Genomic DNA, 19,574 nt, shown 5'->3' with positions numbered 1-19,574 from the left:
ACTCGATGTGTTTATGAAACAAAATTGATTAAAGATACAAGTGGAAAGAAAAGAGGATAGAAAAGAAGGGTGAGAATCACAGAAAGACTTGGCTATTTAGGAAAATCCTTTTAGTTATAAAGGACCATCAGAATCTAATGGTTTTCTATTGACCTACCAAACCCAATCTTATTTGCAAAATGTATAATATCTTCAAAATAAGTGTCAACAATAATAAATGCAAAACGTAAAAAATTCCTGTGTAGTTGACACTTGATCTATAATCTTCTCTCTTTCTTGGTTAACTTTTGCTGTTCTATAGCAAAAGTTTAGCCATCCTAAAACCAAGTGGCAGAAGATCGCCTCATGTAATAATATTGCTTGTGGTTTGTTGCATTGGCTGGAAGATGGCTGATTTGGGACAAATGTGACTGGGCACCTCTGCCAAGGTAGTGCTCTTCCAGGGAATTTTAATCATCCTCCTGGGATGAGCAGACCAGACCGTGTGTTCATCTCATAGTAATGACAGAAGTATGAGAGGTCAAGTGGAAACACATAAGCCTTCTCAAAGTCTCAGCTTGGAAATGACTCCTTATCATTTTCTTCTCATTCTGCTGATCAAAGCAAGTCATCAGACAAAGCCCAAATCAAAAGGTGGGGGAACATTTTCCACTCTCATGGGAGGAAAGCAACATTCACATCAAATGACATAGATACAGGAAGGTGTGAGAAACTAGTGCCAGTAATAGAATCTAGAATATGTGTATATGCCAAATTGTACATGATTATCCCAAAAGACCACTACTAATAAACACTTTCAACTGCGGGAAATATGTCCCAATACTTTGGAAAACCACAGTACAATTCAATTCCAAATTGACAGAGAAGTTGGTGAGTGTGCCAATACAGACAAGATGGAATACTCTGAAACAGCTGCAAGAGTTTTGGAGAAAAGGAAAACAAAAACAAAGTAAAAACCAATAGCCTTACGATACTTGGGACTGATCCAAGGAAAGATCTTATATTTACTTTGGGACACAGACTGGTAGACAAAGGAGAGCAGAGGGGGCATAGGTCAGAGAGAGCAGCTGCAGAGGAAAGCTCACCTTCAGTGACAGAAGGAAGCTAGGGAATTCGGCAGTGGAGGCAGAGAAGACAGGACAGGCCAAGTTTCACATCAGATTGTCAAAAGCAGGCATGGACTTTCCAGCAGGTGGTGTTAGCATTGCAACAAGACATGAAGGGCCATGCACAGGTGGGACAGGTGTTTATTTAGCTTTATTGAGCAGCTATGATATGCCAACAGCTTTAGAAACACTTTCACGTAGATGTTTTGATTCCAAGCCCCTTATGGTAAAGTAACTTAGAATCACAAAACTGTTAGTTTATAAAGCAAAATATCAGTTCCTATGTGTTTGATTCCATAGCTCATGGTTGCATGTAGTGTCAGAGTCCTAGACACAAATCAAAAGTGCCCATGATGAGGATCATCGTCGCCCAAACCTGGGTCTAGAGCAGCAGCCGAATAAGAGACATCTGGAAATCCACATGTGAACCTGGGATTGGTTTCAGCAACACACTCTAGTTACTGAAGTTGATTTTCTATGTTCAAGTCTGATCAGCAGCTGTTAGGTCTTGATACTCAGAGTTCTGAGCTGGAGTTTCTATACCCTGTAGAGGGCAGATGGGCAGAACCTTGTAGGGTGTGGGGAGATTAGGTCTAGAGAAGGTAATCCTGTTACTCTAAATGTGGACAGAAGGATGGTGGGGGCAAAAGTCTAGAAAGTTTATTTTATTCCAAAAAGTCAGTCAGAGCAAACTGCAAAGAGAGTTAGTTGGCCTTCAGGTCTTCAGCTAATTCTGGACCCCTTGTCTTGGCTGCTGTCTGTGTGTCTGTGCTTGCTAGCCCCATTTCATCTAAAGATGGAGTGAGCGATGGGCATGAGCGTGCAAAGAAATGAGATTGCTGCCATCTCTACATTCTTTTCTCTTTCTCCTTATGTCTGCTTGAACATTCATCTCCATAGCCATAGTGCACTGTCTCTGTTATTGACTTTTTAAATTTATAAAGCATCTAATTGTTTTAAATTTTAAACCCGATTATTTAGATATGTTTATCTCTCATTATTTGTCTCCCGGATCCATTTGTGAAGAGCATATATTAAATTTTAAATAAAACTTTAGATGTATTTATTTCTCAATGAATTTCTGTTAGTTGTCGCTCTATAACATTTAAGTCAGCATTGTTAGAAGCAAGAACATTTTTCAGCTATAACTTCTTTTTTTTTAGCCAATATATAATGCCCCTAGTTGTCACTGATACATTTTCTGCCTTGAACTGTATTTCGTAAACTTTGATTTTGCTATTTCTGCTTAGCTTTGATTAATCTTTTTCTGTACCTCATTTAATATGCATTTTGCCAAACTTTCTAAATCATTTTAAGCGGGTTTTTTTTTAAATAAAATATATCACTGGATCCTTTAATTGTTATAAAATCTAAAAATAAATCAGCTTTTAGTTGACAGATTCAGGCTACTATATTGTAATTAGTTATACTACTACTTATTACTGACACTTAATTTACTAATTTTTTGCACTTTTAAATTCTTTTTCTTTCCTTACTTTCTTTTGAATCATAAAATCTTATGGTTCTAGTTTAAATGTTATATATTCAGTTTACTTTCACTGATGTTCCTAATATCCTAAGACACAATATCCCTTGTGTACACAATTTTGTATATGTCATCCTGCTCACAACATGCCCTAAGCACTGTCTTACCTTCTAATATTAATATGGTCTAAAATTTTTGTTTTAGAAAGTTATAGGCTTTTAAAATTTGTTTCTTTCTTTTATACACAACTGTAATCTTTACTAAGTTATTTGAGCACACTTTTTTTAAACATCTGGCTTCATCCTCCTAGATTTATTTGTATTCTTATTGGGATACTTCTTCAAAAGTGTTGTCAAAATGTGTCTTTGTGTTGTTAATCTTAAAAGAATTATATGGAAGTTTGATGGTCTCAACACTTTGAAATCATTACTCTATTGTGGAGTGTGGATTTAAGAGTCATTTGTCAACAGAAATATACAAAGGGCCCATTATGTTCATTTATCTTGAGAAAATCATCATGGAAGTAAGTAAGGTACCATCAAATCACATCCTGGCATAAGACCTCAATCAAGTAGCAACTATCATTGTTCAATCCCTTTAATGAATAAATGACTTTCAACTCAGGAAGACAGGTTAAAACAAAGATAATGAAGTAAATCAAATGCACAGTGAATATAATTAATTTTTGTGTGTAAGTACTTATGTTTAATGGGATGTCATGATTTCAAGATTTACAAGAAAAATATACTTACAATATTTTATAGATTCTCTTTTTTAATATTATGTGTTTTGTTTGTTTGCTTTTAAAATTTGATTTATAGGAGTTGTTGAAAATGCCTGGAAGACTTTGGGGTTTTACATCTACTCTACCAGGCACTTTAAGTGCTAAGAGGAAAAGCTATATATGCTACGTTTATGAGTGCTGATTTTAGATTGATGATGGGTTTAGATGAATTTATTAAAGGAACTGATTGTTAAAAGGAATGCAATCTGTGCAGCTTCTGTTAACAAAACATTGGTCCAAAACAAGGAAAAGGAAATTTACTAATTTTAAATAAAATTACTAATTCTACAAATAGAATTATGATCGATTTGTGCCAAACTTACGAGCTTGAAAAAAGTTTTCAATTTTGTAATATTAATAGATTGAATATGATATAAAACACAAGTAACTATAAATAAACCCATCACCAGACAATAAAAGTAACAGACTGACATGAAATGTTTGCTAAATGGTTCTATAATATTTGCAAGACAGCATGAACACATACATACAATTATGTACATAGCCACAATATCATGGATAATCTCTCTAAATCTGTGAACTTTCTTTCAAAAAAGCAGGAAAATAAACACTAATCCAGGGACTATTGTAGACTGTAGGTTATCTCATTCCTTCTGTAACTGGCTTGATATTTCTTCAAAATGCAATTTGCTTATGAAGGAGACTAGCAATTGAATGATGTCTTGGATTGAATCGCTAGAATCTACAATGAGGAGTGTTATAAAAATTTCAATGCACATTTTAAGTAATTCAAACCTTAGGTCTTAAGAAGGAAGCAATTAACAAAGACAGACTTAGTTGCATCTTTATGTTCTTGGGTACCATATTATTTTGTAAATCAGGATCTAAATTTATTTGCTTATGATCTCGTTTAGAGTTTTCTAAATATTTGGAGCATATTTGGCTTAAAAAATCTCTTACTTGCTATAGAAAGCATTCCCAAATTTATGAATGGAGTAAATGGAGTAGGCAAATGCCTATTCCTCCCACTAAGAACAAATAAAAACTCGGGACGTTATATATATACAGTCATCCTTTCATATCTGTGGGTTTTACATACATGAATTTAACCAATTGTATATAGAAAATACTCGGGGTAAAAAAAAAAAAAAGAATGGGTTGAAGGGAGTTGCCAAGATGGCTGATTAGAGGCCCCTAGTGTGTGCCATTCTCACTGAGAGAAGAAAACATGGCGAGTACATACTAGACCTTCAGCTGGAAGATCCAGGCGGACACTCTGGGATTCATCAAGGAGAGAACGGAACCCACAGAGAACGGAGAGGAGCAAGACAGGATGACTGCCCAGGAGTGGCCCGCAGCCAGGGGAGGCTCCCCCACCCCTGGTGAATGAGAGTTGAAAGAGTCCTCGGGGACCCACGTGCGTGCCATGGACCCTTGCAACCCTAGGCTCAGGAGATCCCCCTGTGAGCCCATCCCACCAGGACCTTCAGGGTGCAGAGCTCCGTGGAGTATGGGCAGAGCTGCCACTCAGGCACATGTGCCGTCCTGAGAGCCTTGAGTCCCTGGGCATCCCGGCATTAGTGGCTGCAGCAGGGAAGGTTAGCCTCCCTTGCACACCCCCAGGAAAGGGGCCGAATCCAGGAGGCTGAGCAACGACTGACTGCCAGCCTTGCCTCCACTGTACCTCACAGGGTAAGGCCCAATGGCCTGGAACTCCAGCCACTCCCCACCGGGGCTCTCGGGCTAGCAGCACCTCTGTACCTCCCTGGGACGGAGCTCGCCGAGGGAGAGGCAGGCCCCTATTTTGGCTGTCCTCCAGCCCTCGCCACTCTTGCCCTCAGGCTGTGGAGGATGCACGGTGACTAGCGACTGGCATGGACCCCAGCACACCTGCCCCACGGAAAACCTGCCAGACTGTTCTCCAAGTGGATCCCAGTTCCCAGTGTCCCTCACTGGGCGGGGCCTCCCGACCAGCGACTCGTGCCTCTGCCTGAAGACCTCAGGTGGAGGTGGCTCTGTATTTCTCTACGGAGGAAATCCCAGAAGCAGCCCACATCCCCTCCGTCATTGCAGCAGCAGTGGTGCCGCCCCAACCACCCTCAGGCTGGGGAAGGACAAAGAGCCTGGTCGCTGGGCTGGCACCTCCAGCACACTCCAACCCAATACAGAGATGAGCCCAAGTTCTCTTCCCTGTGAGGCCCCACACCCCGCCATTCTTCAGCAGGCGGGCCCCCCACCTCAGGACCGCAGATGAGCCGCCCGCCTCCCAGCTGAGCACACCCACTGGAGTTTCACTGGAGCTCTGAGTTTCACTGGAGAGGGGCTCCCAGAGGCAACCGATGGTTCTTCTGCCACAGCCACAGTAGAGGTCCTGCTGCTGCTACTCTTGGTCTGGGGCAGAAACAAAGGGCCCTAGGGTTCTGCTCTGGCACGCCACAGTCACCACAGGGAGAGCCCAGTCTCTCCTCCCCGTGAGCCCTCCACCCCTGCTCTTCACCAGGAAGAGCCCCCAGCTAAGGCCAGCAGACAGTGTTCCCAGCCCCTGGCCGAACATTCCCGGTAGCAGAGGCTCTGCGTTTCTCTGAGGTGGCCTCCCAGAGGCCACTGAAAGGCCCTCTGCCACTGACACTGCAGCAGTGTTGCCCTTGCTGGCCTCAAGGCTGGGGAAGGAGCAAAGACCCTGAGAGCATTAACCACACCTCCAGCAAGCTGTAGTTTCCCTGAAGAGAAGAGGCCGGTCTGTCTTCCCCGTGACCCACCTGCCCCACTGTATCTCACCAGGCAGGGCCCCTGGTTTGGGGCTAACACACAGCCACCCTATCCTGGAAAGGTTGCATTGATTGATGGTGGCTCCACATCTCCTTTTTGAAGATTTTTTAAATCACCATTAAGTTGTGGTTTGCTAAACTTCTTAAATCTGTAGGTTTATGTCTCTTGCTCTCTGGCTCTTCCCTCTTTCTCTTCTCTTTTTGGACACTAGTATTAGATCTTTTGTTCCATAATCTGACTGAGGTGGTTTGGATCGTGTTCCCACCCAAATCTCATGTCGAATGGTAATCCCCAAAGTTGGAGGTGGCGCCTGGTGGGAGATGATCAGATGACAGGGGAAATTTCACATGAGTGGTTTCACACCATCCCCTTTGGTGCTGTTCTTGGTTATTGAAAAGTGTGCAGCACCTACCTGCCCGCCTTGTTCTTGTTACAGTCGTGTAAGATATGCCTACTTCACTTTCACCTTCTGCCATGATTGAAAGTTTCCTAAGGCCTCCCCAGAAGCTGTCATACTAACTGTGCAGCCTGCAGAACTGTGAGCCTGTTAAACCTCTTTTCTTTATAAATTACCTAGTCTCGGGTTTTTTAGGCAGTATGAGGATGGACTAATACACTGAAGCTCTGTTTCTTTACTCTGTCTACTTTTTCTCTGCTTTTCAGGTTGGTTGGGTTATTTTTATTGTTCTGTCTTCCAGTCCACTGCTTATTTTTTCTGTCTCCTTCATTCCACTGTTGAGACAATTGACTGGTTCTTTTTAATCTCAGTTATTGTGTTGAAAATTGAAAAGTAAAAACTTTTAAAATTTTCATTTGGTTCTTCTTTATGTCTTCAATTTCTTTGCCGAGACTTTTTCTTACTGAGACTAAATTATTTTTTCATTTATTTCAAGCATGTTTGTAAATAGTTCACTATTTTCATGATGGCTGCATAAAAAGCTTTGTCAGATAATTTTAAAATTATTGCCACGTTGCCACGTTGGTGTTTTTTGTTGTTGTCGTTGTTGTTCTTTTTTAATCTATGATTTTTTTTTCTCATTGTGTCTGAGAACTTCCAAGTACTTGGTAGGACCTGTGATTTTTCAACTGAAACCTTGACCTGCTAGGTGTTATGTTGTGAGAGGCTGGCTCTTATTTAGTCCTTCTGTTTAGCTGACTTCCCCTGAAACCACCGCAGGAGAAAGGTCTGTGGCACCTCAGTGCTGCCAGATAGGATGGAGACCCAGATTCTTCTCTTGCCTCTGTTGACACAGGGAAGGGAGAGTACTCCTTGTTTCTGCTGGGGGGTGGTGGGAATGCCGGCTTTCCTCTAGATTTCCACTGGTACCTCCCTGTCTTGGAAGGGAAGAAGCACCTTATTACTGCTCCCCACATGGCCTAGACTTTCTTCACAAGAGGGAAGGCCTCATCACCCATGGGCAGTGCTGAACGTCCAGGCTTTGCACTTGGCTTCTGATGACACTACCCAGGGAGGAGAGGAAGGAATGCCTCATTACTGCAGAGTGAGCAGGAAAGGGAGTCCATGCTCCTTACCTGGTCTCTACAGACACCTTGGTGATGGTTGGGTGAGAAGGGGCTTGGGGCCTTGTAATTGCCCGGTAGAGTTAAAAGTCCCAGCTCTTTTGGGGTCTTCTTTGTTATCCCCTGTCACTCTCCTGGTGTGGGGGTTCAGGCACTTTGATGGAGCCTGGAAAGAATGGAAGTATCGGTTTTCCATGTAGACTTTGCTGGATTGAGTGGCCATGGGACTGCAATTTTCTGAACACTGTGGTGTTCAGCTGGAGAAGAGTGGTTATTTTCAGAAAGTTTTCTGTCTTACTAGGTTGTTTCTTTTGAGCACAAAACCGGGGTTATCTTTCGCAAAATTGAAGGCCAGGGATCTTACCACCATATTGTTCTTTGAGTCTCAGGATCACTAGCTGGTATGCCTTCTCCTCTATACCTTTCGGAGTCTTCTTTTTCTTCTTCTGCTTAAATAATGTATATGATATTCAGGGCTTTAGTTGTTCTTCACAGTGGGAACAGGATAAAGTACATCTATTCCATCTATTATGTCAGTAGTATATCCTGTAGCAATATTCCTGGTATGTGATGGGTTGCTTTTCTTTTGATGTTTTCAAGATTCTTCTTTGCCATTGGCTTTTGACGGTTTGATTTTGCTGTGTCTAAGTGTGTATCTCTAAGTTTATCCCACTTGGAATTTGTTGAGCTTGTTAGATGTGTAGAGTAGTGGTTTTCATCAGATTTTGGAAGTTCTTGGCTATTATTTCTTGGAAAAGTTTTTCTGCTCTTTTCTTTCTCTCTTCTTCTGGAACTACCAGTAGGCTTATATTGATGATTGATGGTGTCCCAGATTTCTATAGGTGTTCATTTTCCTTCATTATTTTTTTTCTGTTCCTCAAACCAAATAATTTCAATTAACTTATCTTGAAGTTCATTGATTCTTTCTTCTATTAACTCAAATATGCTATTAATCTACTGTAGTGAATTTTTTTATTTTAGTAGTTATACTTTTAATTACAGAATTACTGTTTTTTTAAAAAAATCATTCTATTGGTAATTGCTTTGATGAGACATAATTCTCAATGTATTATTTAATTCTTTAGACATGGTTTCTGCTAGTTATTTGAACATATTTAGAATATCTGATTTAAAGTCTTTGTCTAGTAAATCCAACATCTGCAATGCTTCAGAAACAGTTTCTATTGACTGCTCTTTTGAAATTTATTTATTTATTTATTTGAGACACAGTCTCACTCTGTTGCCCAGACTGGAGTGCAGTGGCACAATCTCGGCTCACTGCAACCTCTGCCTCTTGGGTTCAAGTGATTCTCCCACCTTAGCCTCCTGAGTACCTGGGACTACAGGCATGGGCCACCACGTCTGGCTAATTTTTGTATTTTTAGTAGAGGTGGGGTTTCACCATGTTGGCCAGGCTGGTCTCAAATTCATGATCCCAGGTGATCCACCTGCCTCAGCCTCCCAAAATGCTGGGATTACAGGCATGAGCCACTGAGCCTGGCTTGTTCTTTCTTTTTATTTTCTTTATTTTGTGTGTGTGAGGGGTCATATTTTCTTATTTCTTTGCATGTGTTATATTTTTGTGATAAAACCTGGACATTTTAAATGATACTGTGTGACAACTCTGGAAATAAGATTCTCTCCCTTTTTCTAAAATCTTGTTTTCATTGTTGTTGCTACTTTTTGTTTGTTTAGTGATTTTCCTAGACTAACTTTATAAAGTCTGTATTCCTTTTCATAAGTGGCCACTGAAGTCGATTTTTGGTTATCTTAGTGGACACATGATTATTCGACAGAGATTTTCTTAAAAGTTTTGGATTTTGAAATCTTCCAGTCATTGCCAAAAGGCTTTTGTGTATGATGGGGCACACCTTCAACACTGTGGCAGTTTATAGCCCTGCTTAATCTTCATATCCTGCTTCTGCAAAACCTCAATGGCATCCAGAGATAAGACATGGTCTCTTCAGGTCTTTTTCTGGGCATGTGCACAACCCAGAACATGTGCATAATCTTCTAGATCCCCAGGGATATGCTGGAGCTTTTTAAAGCTCCCTATGGACATGCCTTTTCCTAAGTATTCATCTTAAGATTTCTGGCCAGAGTCTTACTTGCTCCAACTAATACCACAGCTAAAGCAGCTGCTATGTTCAACAATCACTGCTGATTGTTTTAAAAAATGCATTGGTGATAGGACTTTTCTTACTGAGAAAACCCCAAGTCAGGTTAAATAACAGTAAGAACTGATAATGGGGTTTTCCAGGGAGGTGCCAGAGAAGTCACATAATGAAAATACTTTTTGGATGAGTTATTTTGAAGTGTCCCAAACCTAGTATGTTTTCTCTCTTGACTGCTAGGTTGCTGGCATTCATAGTTACTGTGGTTGCAAAGTTGCTGGTTTTTAGGGCTACTATAGACATGGAAAGTATAAAGAGAAGAAAGACAGTTAAAACGCTACAAAGTTCACTGCTGTTACTGAGATTCAGCATTTTTCTTAAACTCTTCTTGGATTGTTGCCAGTGTTTGGTTATTGTCAGAGTTATGAAAGAGTTGACATTACTAATTTTCCCTATTTTTATTGTTGCTTTTCTGGAGAAATGGATTTTTGATAGTCATTATTCTACAGTTCCATAAATATCACTCTCTCAATAAAATATTTTTAAACCAAAATCTTTAATTTTGTGATGTAGCTTTACAGAAAATTTGAAGGGCTTTCTAATATTATAAGAATGTAATTTTCTCTTCTATAATTTACTTACTTTTTTTCTCATCTACAATTTGTAAAAGGTTTTTTTTTAACCCTCTTGTAAATAGCATGAGACAATTATGCATTTAAGCATATATTAAAGTGGCTATAGCGTTTTGGTTTCTGATAATGATTATCAGCATAGACTGCTAATACTTCATTCTCTGAAATTCACCTTGGAGAAACAACAGTAACAGCAACAGGCAACAGAAAGAAGGCAAAGGAGGCTTTTACCTGGTATATACTTGTAGAGGAGTCTCAGACAACAAGAGTGAGTGAGTTTATTTATTTTAGACAGAGTCTCACTCTGTCACTCAGACTGGCGTGCAGTGGCGCTATCTAGGCTCACTGCAACCTCTGCCTCCTGGGTTCAAGCAATTCTCCTGCCTGAGCCTCCAAGTATCTGGGACTACAGGCACACACCACCATACCTGGGTAATTTTTGTATTTTTTTAGTAGAGATGGGATTTCACTATGTTTGCCAGGCTAGTCTCGAACTCCTCACCTCAAGTGATCCACCCGCCTCGGCCTACCAAAGTGCTGGGATTACAGGCATGAGCACTGCGCCCGGCTGACATCAAGAGTTTAGTAACAAGAACAGAAGGTAGACTGAGAGACCTTAAATTCTGGTATCGTATCTCACTGTGTTATATTGGGAAGTTCATTGCCTACCTTTTTGCCACTGACAGGAGAAATCCCTTCCCTTCCTTCCCCCCTCCCTCCCTCCCTTCCTCCCTTCCTTCCTTCTTCTCTCTCTCCCTTTCCTTTCCCTTCCTTTCCTTTCCCTTCCCTTCCCCTTCCCCTTCCCCTTCCCTTCCCCTTCCCCTTCCCCTCCCCTTCCCTTCCCCTTCCCCTTCCCTTCCCCTTCCCTTCCCCTTCCCCTTCCCTTCCCCTTCCCTTCCCTTCCCCTTCCCCTTCCCTTCCCCTTCCCTTTCCCTTCCCCTTCTTCCCTTCCCTTCCCCTTCCCCTTCCCCTTCCCCTTCCCCTTCCCTTCCCTTTCCTTCCTTTCCTTCAGACAAGGTCTCACCCTGTCACCCAGGTTGGAGTACAGTGGAGCAATCGTAGCTCATTGCAGCCTTGAACTCCTAGGCTCAAGATCCTCCTGCCTTAGTCACTTGAGTAGCTGGGACAGCAGACATGCTCCACCCACTGGCTACTTTTTGTACTTTTTGTAGAGAGAGAGTTTCAGGGATTCCAGGCTGGTCTCAAACTCCTGGCCTCAAGCAATCCTTCTTTCATGGCCTCCCAAACTGCTGGTATTACAGGCATGAGCCACTGCTCTGGACCAAGACTTACCTTAATTTTCCTTCCTTCTTTTCTTCCCTCCTTTCTTAATTTCATTTTATTTATTTATTTATTTATTTCCTTTCTTTGTTCTTTCATTCTTTCTTCCCATCTTTCTGTCTTTCTTTTTTTCCTCTCTTTCTTGGATTTGAAATTGCAACCTCATTAATTTATTCAAAACTTTTTTTTAGACTTTAACTAGTTCTGTTTGGATAAACGGAATTCTACTACCCCAAAACAAGTTGCAAACAACTTTTCTCAATTAATCACTTGACTGCCCTGTAAACTGATTCATTATTTTTCCACTTTTCTGATCTCAGTTAGCAACCACTCTGCCAACATTGCAATGTCTTTTCTTCCTGAATTCTTCTCATTGGATGTAGTATATGTTTTGTCCAATGACTTTCCTGTATGTTAAAAAGTCACATGGCTAATCTTCTGTATATTTATATTTAGTTAAATATTTAATTAATTTAATATAATAATTTAATATTTAATTTATTTAATTATTGTTAGTGTTGAAATGACAATTTGTTACATACTTGATACATTTGTGGTAGAGTTTTAGGCACTGAAAATACAAAATTGAGCAAGATAGACAAGTTCCTTGCTCATATAGACTTCAGCCTAGTAGGGAAGACTGATGACCAAATGATTCTATAAATTATAATGAGGAATCCAATAAAGCTTGCTTTGAAGGGAGAAGGAAGAGAGTGTGAGATTCAGCACATGTTCTAGGCTCTTGGTATATTATATAACTCCCTTTGTCCTCCTATTTATCCTGAAATATCATCTTATGCCTACTTTTCCTTCTTGTAACCTTTTTTTTTTCCTTTCAACCCATGGAAAAATTTTATAGGGTCAGAATTTAGAATTAGAAGGGCACTCAGAAACCAGGTGTCTTCATTTTAGAGTAGAAAAATACAAAAACAAAACCAAGAGTGAGGTGACTTGCTCAAGATCCCACAGCTAACAAAGAGTAGAACTGTCTTCTAGGGTCTTCCACTCATCAGACTCCACCTGTGCGTTCTTGTCCTCTGTTGTCTGAGCACTAGTGTAGCATAATGTGGACTTAAAATTTATTTGATGCGTACCATTCTTCCTCCTCATCATTAGTTTTTCATCATGTGTACATCCTTCAGTTGAACTAGAAGCTTCCTCAGCACAAGAACATACTTTTTTTCCTTCTTTTTAATGTACCAATCTACAGGAGAGTTTCTTACTCCCCTCTGGGGTTTTGCCAGTTTTCAGGAAGATTTAGATTTGCTCCTAGGCAAATTTCCTCATCTGTAAAGCAGAGATAATAAAAAACTTAAAATAGTACTTTTTTGTTTTTATTTCTGTAAACGAGACCATACATGTAAAGTTTGTTGTTTAATGCCTGATGTTCTGTAAGTGATCGATGATTATCAATGAAATCTGTTGCTGTCATTTAATCAATCCTTTGCTCATTCAAGGTTTATCTTATGTAATGGGAACCAGTTCTTTATGTCATTTTGTGATTAAATTCCAACTTATTCTTCTTTCCAGTCTTCTCAGTTGCAATTAATTATGTGTTTCTTATTAGTTACACAAGATTTTTCTTGAACTTATATTAATTCAAATAATTCATTTTTATCTGTGTTGGATTTCCAGATTAAACTATAAGCAATTCAAGCTCAGAAATTATAAATTATTCATCTCAGCATTGCCTCAATATCTACCTAATATTTTTTACAGATGGGTGCTAAATAAATGCTTCCATAATAAGAACATGTTATAATTCATTTGTTTAGTCATCCATGAAACATTCATTGAGCACCAATATTGTACCACTCTTTGTACTACTATTTATTACAGAATTATTAAAATAAAGAATACTGATGAATTGTTTTAAATACATCAATGGAAAAATTAATAATAAAGTTGAGTACTGTAGACTCAATCTAATAGCTAAATATCAAGCTCAGTTCTACCTCTAAAAGGTGGCAGTGATTTGAGATCAGAAGGTGTCTGAATTTGACTTCCCATCTCCACTATCTGCAGAGCTGGCAATGACTGAAGAATATAGAAAGCATGTCACACCTCTCTGGAATGAGAAGTGAAATACTCACGGAAGATGAAGGCCCTTCAGAGCTAGTTCAAGCCATTGCAATAATCAGGGAAACAAATTAGTATCACCTTTGTAATGCTATGTACTCTTGCCTACTGTGGTAGAGAACCTCCTTGCCTGTCTAATGTATTCAAAGCTTTTTATAAACATTAAATTGGTCTCCCTCTATAAAAACTAAATCCTCCTGGCTGGAGAGAAAATCCATAAATCACAAAAACAAACCATGAAAATAGATGAAAAAGAGAAAGAACCCTTCTTTAAATGTCTTAAAACACCTTCTTGTATTTCACCTCTGCGGCTGTTTCTATTTTGTGTTCATCTCTGGTTATTGGCCCGTGAGGTATCGGTTTTACAATTTTTGCTAAGGCCATGTGTCAGCCTTTCCAGTGTTGGCTTAGAAATCTTAGAAATGATTTAAGAGAAGAATTATCTTGGGAAGCATATCTTCAATTTAGACCCCAAAATAAACAAGAATGGGGTAGGTGCAGCCTTATCAAAAGCAAATCACTCTTAACTGCCTAGCAAGCCTACACAGAAAAGGCCCTTTTGTACATCTCCCATACAGACTCTTTTTCTCTGTTTATCTTACTTCCATTTTTTGTTACATGACTTTCTCACAGCTTTTTATGATGGGCATATGTGTATATTTAAAATGTGCTAACGCATACTTAAACACCCCAATGTGTTACATTGTGATGTGCATTCAAAGCGTCATTAAAATAGCGACAACAAAAGGCTAACTACTAGAAAAGCCCCAAATTTCAGAATTAGCTAGGTTTTTTTTGAACTGGTGTTCTCTTCTGGCAGTAAGTAAGAAACACACCAGGAAAATATTAATGCTTGCAGGATCTTCTCCTGTCAGATGAATGTGTCTTTCTCTTTGTCCTATTGATTTACAGGTGCTGAAAATGGGGGACACATTTCAAGGCGTACAAGTAACAATAGCTCCCGTGAAGAAGCTTAGTTTCAGAAAGCCTTTCTGGATGAAGTCTAGGTCAAATTCTTTCCCTTGTGTGTATCCACTGGGCTTCCTCAGAAAGCGGTGACAGGCACATTGTCAAGCTGACCTTGGCTGCCTTTTGTCTTTGGGTCCTTGTCATTCAGCTAAGACTTCATTCCCAATTGCAGAGATGAGGTCTAGGCAGCAGCAGGGAAGAGAACGGCAAGCCTGAGAGGAAGCCCCTTTGTCCCCTTTTGTTAGGAACAGGCAGGGAAGAAATTAACTTCCTCACTTGTAGAGTGCAAATGGTAATGATGACTTCCATCAGAGTGTTGTTATAAAGAATACTAGGAAGGGATTGTAAATTCAATGGGAAATGTTTATTAATTAAATGATAACAAATGTTGCTTAGAAACTGGCTGTGTTTTCTTGGTTGGCAGGACAATAGGTTCATTTTTTCTTCTCTTGGTTTTTGTAAGATTCACTGTTAGCAAGGAAATATTTGACTCTTCCTTTTGTCAATTTATTTTTCTAGCCCTATGAAATGTAGCTCTCAATGGTAGGGGCCAGCGACATAGTCTGACTTATCGTATATGAAAGGAGGACCTTCAATGCCAAGGACAAGCACACAGAGCTCCATGGAGACCCAGAGGCCACCCGAGGGCTGGGGCCCTGCCTCCGTGATGACGGGAGATGGCTTTCATTGCGGGGCCATCTGCTTAGAGTAGTTCACCAGCAAAGAACCATCCTCTGCTTCCTGGGGGCTGGGAAATGGAAGACCACAGCATATAAGGTTTCATAGTAATCGAGTAGATCATGCCCCATTAGTTGGATGTTAAGGTGCAGGGAGATATTATTGAAACAGTGTGAGAATTTTATTTACAAGGAAAATGCAGACCTAGCCAACACCCGAGGTTTAGAGAGTGCTTTACAGCCAGGACAAAGCCTCTTCAGGGAAAGGAGAGTCAATGCTTGGCAGACGCTGTTTTAGAAGTTTTTGTGTTCATCTCTGGTTATCAGCCCGTGAGGTATTGCTTTCACAATTTTTGCTAAGGCCATGTGACAGCATTTCCAGAGACCCTGCCCATCGAAACTGCTTCCCTGGTCCACCCTTGTGCTCTCTGTAGCGTCACCCTTCCTGTGCCTGCCTCACTGTCCACTTTCTGTGTAACTCCTAACCAGCTGCTCCTTACCGCAGGCCTCCTATGAACTGCTCCCTGTGCTGGCTTTTTAGAATACTGCAGCCAACATTTGCAGTGGGCTAGTTCTCTCCTATTCATGCCAACTACCTGTTTCACCCATGCCCCCTCCCCTCACTGCCCCTCCACTACTTCTCTTTTCCCATCTCTTCATTTCTCCTAAGCCTGGAATGTTTTTTTTTGGCTCCTGACCACTGACTCTTGGCTTCCTGAATTTGGCTATTACTTTCTTGTTTGATGTAAACTTGGAGAATATCCTCTCCAGGAGTTCCCTGATGAGCAGTCCCAACCAATAGAAAGCAGAATGGAAGGTGGCACAACCAATTCATTGGCCCCCAGGAGGGACTGAGGCTGCTGGCTGTTAATTTTCCAGAATATCCAACCCCTTACATTTTCCAAAAAATTCATTTTGGATGCCAGAGACTTTCTCCCTGGCTACTTTGTAGGATTAGCTCTTAGTTTTCAGGAACCATACTTTGCATTATTTACTCTAGGACACGTTGGAAAGATCACAGATTGAAGAATTAGACCTGTGTTCAAATCTGACAAATTGATGCCATCGCTACCCGAGCCTGACCCTCTTTACCTTAAAGTTAGAGTACTGGTATGAACGCCAGAATTCTATGGTATAAAATAAAGCCGTACAGATATGTCATCCAACCCAGCTCAGTTGCTCAGTAAATACTCAGTCCCTTCTTCATCTTTCACATTCTTGTAAAACCGTGCTCTTCAGAATGTTTGCGTGCTGGTAATTTTGTTTTATTCATGCTCTGTTTTGATTCTTTGGCCTGAACTTTTAGTTTAAACTTTTTTTATTTTTTTTGGCCCATCTTTCCTCCTCCAAACGAACACATCATTAAGGAAAAAGAAATGTTCGGTGGTTTTAGTGTGATTATTAATAAAAATAAAATATTCACATGGGGATTAAGAGGAATTAACATGGGCCTAACACTGATCCACACTTGATCACCTATTATACTTTCATGCCAAAGATAAAGAGGACCTAGGGAAATCCTTCCTCTCCCTGTGAAAGTTTATTAAAATGATGAATGAGGTTTTGGTGGCAGTTAAGCAACTCTGAAGTGCTCTCTCGTGGACAAACTCCAGTCCCCTGCTTGTTAGAGAGCATTCTGGTGAGAGGCGCTGGCTTCAGCACAAGCACATCAGGGCTGCACTTGTGGATTACCTGGGGTTGTCAAGGTTACTGAGATGCCAGGATTTTTGGACACAGAGTATCCCAAAACTGCCACTGGATAATCATAAATATTAGACATTCTGATTCCTCCCTCTGCATGGATCATTTTCTTCAGATTCATCTCAGGAGAAACAGTCAATATATTAATTTTCCTAATGGAACACAACACTGACAAGGATTAATGAGGAGGCTTCGTAATGGCCTCATTTTCCATCTGTCCCACAACACTTACATTGTATTCACAGGACCAGTCAAAACTAGGAAACAACACTGCTTTCTATCCTTATCATTAGCTTCTCAAAAAGCAGGAAGGCTGCTCAAAATTCACTTTCAAACATATAGCCACAAAGTATATATATGCATTTTGGAGGATCTCTGGGCAGTGAGTTTTGGTATATTTCAAAAATAACAAGATGCATCCCCTTTCTACATTCTTCTATAACACTTTAATCAGAGGTAAATGCCTCATCATTTTCTATCTAGTAGCATAAGAATGGTTGGCATGCTTATTGTTAAGCTTCCAACCTATGCCTGCCTTGAAGAAAGTTCACATTTTGTGTGTGACTTGTCTCAAGCTTTTATACCATTAAATAATATCCCCAAGCATATTTTACATCTAATATAAAACAGCAATAAAATGCACTTCCCCAAGTTGTTGGGGAGATAAAAATAAGACAAACTAATTGGAAAGGTGAGCACCCTTCCAGCATTTTAGTTATAAAATTGTAACAAAAGGGCTTCCTCACTTCCTTGTTTACAGAGTTGAATAAAAATAGTTGTTCTGTAGACTGTGTGAATGTTTCAAATGCAGGGGCATTTGTATCCATTCACCTGTGAAATACCCCATCATACTAAGAGCTATGATGGTGATGCAAAGTGGGTAGGTATGGCAGGTCAATGGGGAGTTAAAGGAAGAACAAACTGGTGAGAGACGTTAGACAGCAGTTATAGGACCTCCTGTTGTCTCACCATTCCTAGAAATTGTGCTATCGTTTCCAGTGATCAAAGGTCTCACCATTTTACTCAAATCTACTTTATATCTACACACCATGCACTAGATTCCTAATAGTAATGTACCTTTGCATTGTTCCTCCTGTTTAATATCAATTCCTATAACCACTGCCTAATCCTTCGTTCTTACAATATGCGTATTATCCAGAACCTGCTCAAATGTTTTCCCATTATCCAGCCGTCCAGATATTAGCATCCAGAAATCAACTCTCTGTACTGTGAGCTGGTCTAACTGCTTGTGTGTGTATGCTTTACATTTAGAGAGTATTTATCCTATGATGCCTAGTAGTGTAATTTACCTGCATAATGTTCTTTAGTAGAAAACAGTCCCTTAAATTTGTATCTTCTAAAGACTTGATTGCTAGAAAGCCATGATGTGAGGAAAAACAAAGAGAATTTTGCAAACCAAAAAACTAGATCTGAGTTGGGTAGTCTCATTTGAAAGGCTATAGACCTTGTAACCCAGGGCTTAAATTCCAGCTCCATTGGTAATAAAAAGCTATTATGCATTATCTATTTGAGACTGAATTTCCTCATATATAATAATGTAATAACACATATCTTGCTGGGTGATTGCGAAGATTATGTAGAGTAATGCATATAAAGCACCTGGCAACTGCAGACACAATGAAAGGTGGCTGTTATTATTCCACTTACTGAGCCATGGGGCTGGGAATTAGTTCTTGTTAAATTTGTGCTCTCTACTCGGCATTTTACAAGTTAGTTTTCATAATTATCATGGCAACCTCATTTTACAGATGAGAAAGCTGCATCCCATAAAGGGTAAGTCATATATCCAAAGTCAGTCTGTGCTATGACTTGCCTAAGCTAGAACGCCAGCCTGGGTTTGGACCCCACCCCTTCCTCTGTGTCATGTGGCTTTTCTAGAAGGTTCTCTTAAGTCAGAAACAGAACTATGAAGGCCTTTCCCAGGACCAGCCAGGCAGCCACATTCTGAATCAAGCCGGCTTTCATTCATGTCCACCAGTCACATGCCCAGGGATGCAGCTCATGTGTCCTTACTCCCCATGAAAACAAAGGGCCTCTTGAATGCTGTGAAGCTGACCACCTCTCAATGTTCTGAACCATGAAGAAATAGCCTAGTGCCTGTGGGCACGCTAACATTGTGGAGGCTCAAACAGGGGTACCAAACTGTGAAAATTTTCATTGTTTGTATTTAATAAGTTAATCCCTTAGTCTAATCACAGAATGTTTGTCACACTACCATTAAAGAATTTTAGAATCAGAGTTCATTATTGTCACAGAGTGAATTTTATGCCCCACTCCACCCCCTGCCACCAGAAGAAGATGTATCAGGGTCCTCACCCCCAGCACCTCGGAATGTGACCTTATTTGCTAAAAAGGTTTTTATAAAGATAACCAAGTTAAAGTAAGCTCATTAGGGCAAGTCCTAATCTAATATAACTGGTGTTCTTATAAAAAGTGAAAATTTGGAGACAGTGGCACAGAGGGAGTGTGATAT

General features: G+C 40.3%; 1 annotated feature.

The window, feature by feature from the left end:
- Positions 5,283–5,783: an enhancer, noted in NCBI's record as "H3K4me1 hESC enhancer chr2:6598765-6599265 (GRCh37/hg19 assembly coordinates)". NCBI's record gives its function as "activates a minimal SCP1, AML or CMV promoter by ChIP-STARR-seq in primed H9 embryonic stem cells {active_cell/tissue: H9 hESC(primed)}" and the evidence as "EXISTENCE:reporter gene assay evidence [ECO:0000049][PMID:30033119]".

This window comes from Homo sapiens, chromosome 2 (genome assembly GCF_000001405.40).
Source record: "Homo sapiens chromosome 2, GRCh38.p14 Primary Assembly".
NCBI classification, from domain to species: domain Eukaryota; kingdom Metazoa; phylum Chordata; class Mammalia; order Primates; family Hominidae; genus Homo; species Homo sapiens.
Note: the sequence above shows the minus strand (reverse complement) of the source record. Positions and strands in the feature narration are given on the sequence as shown.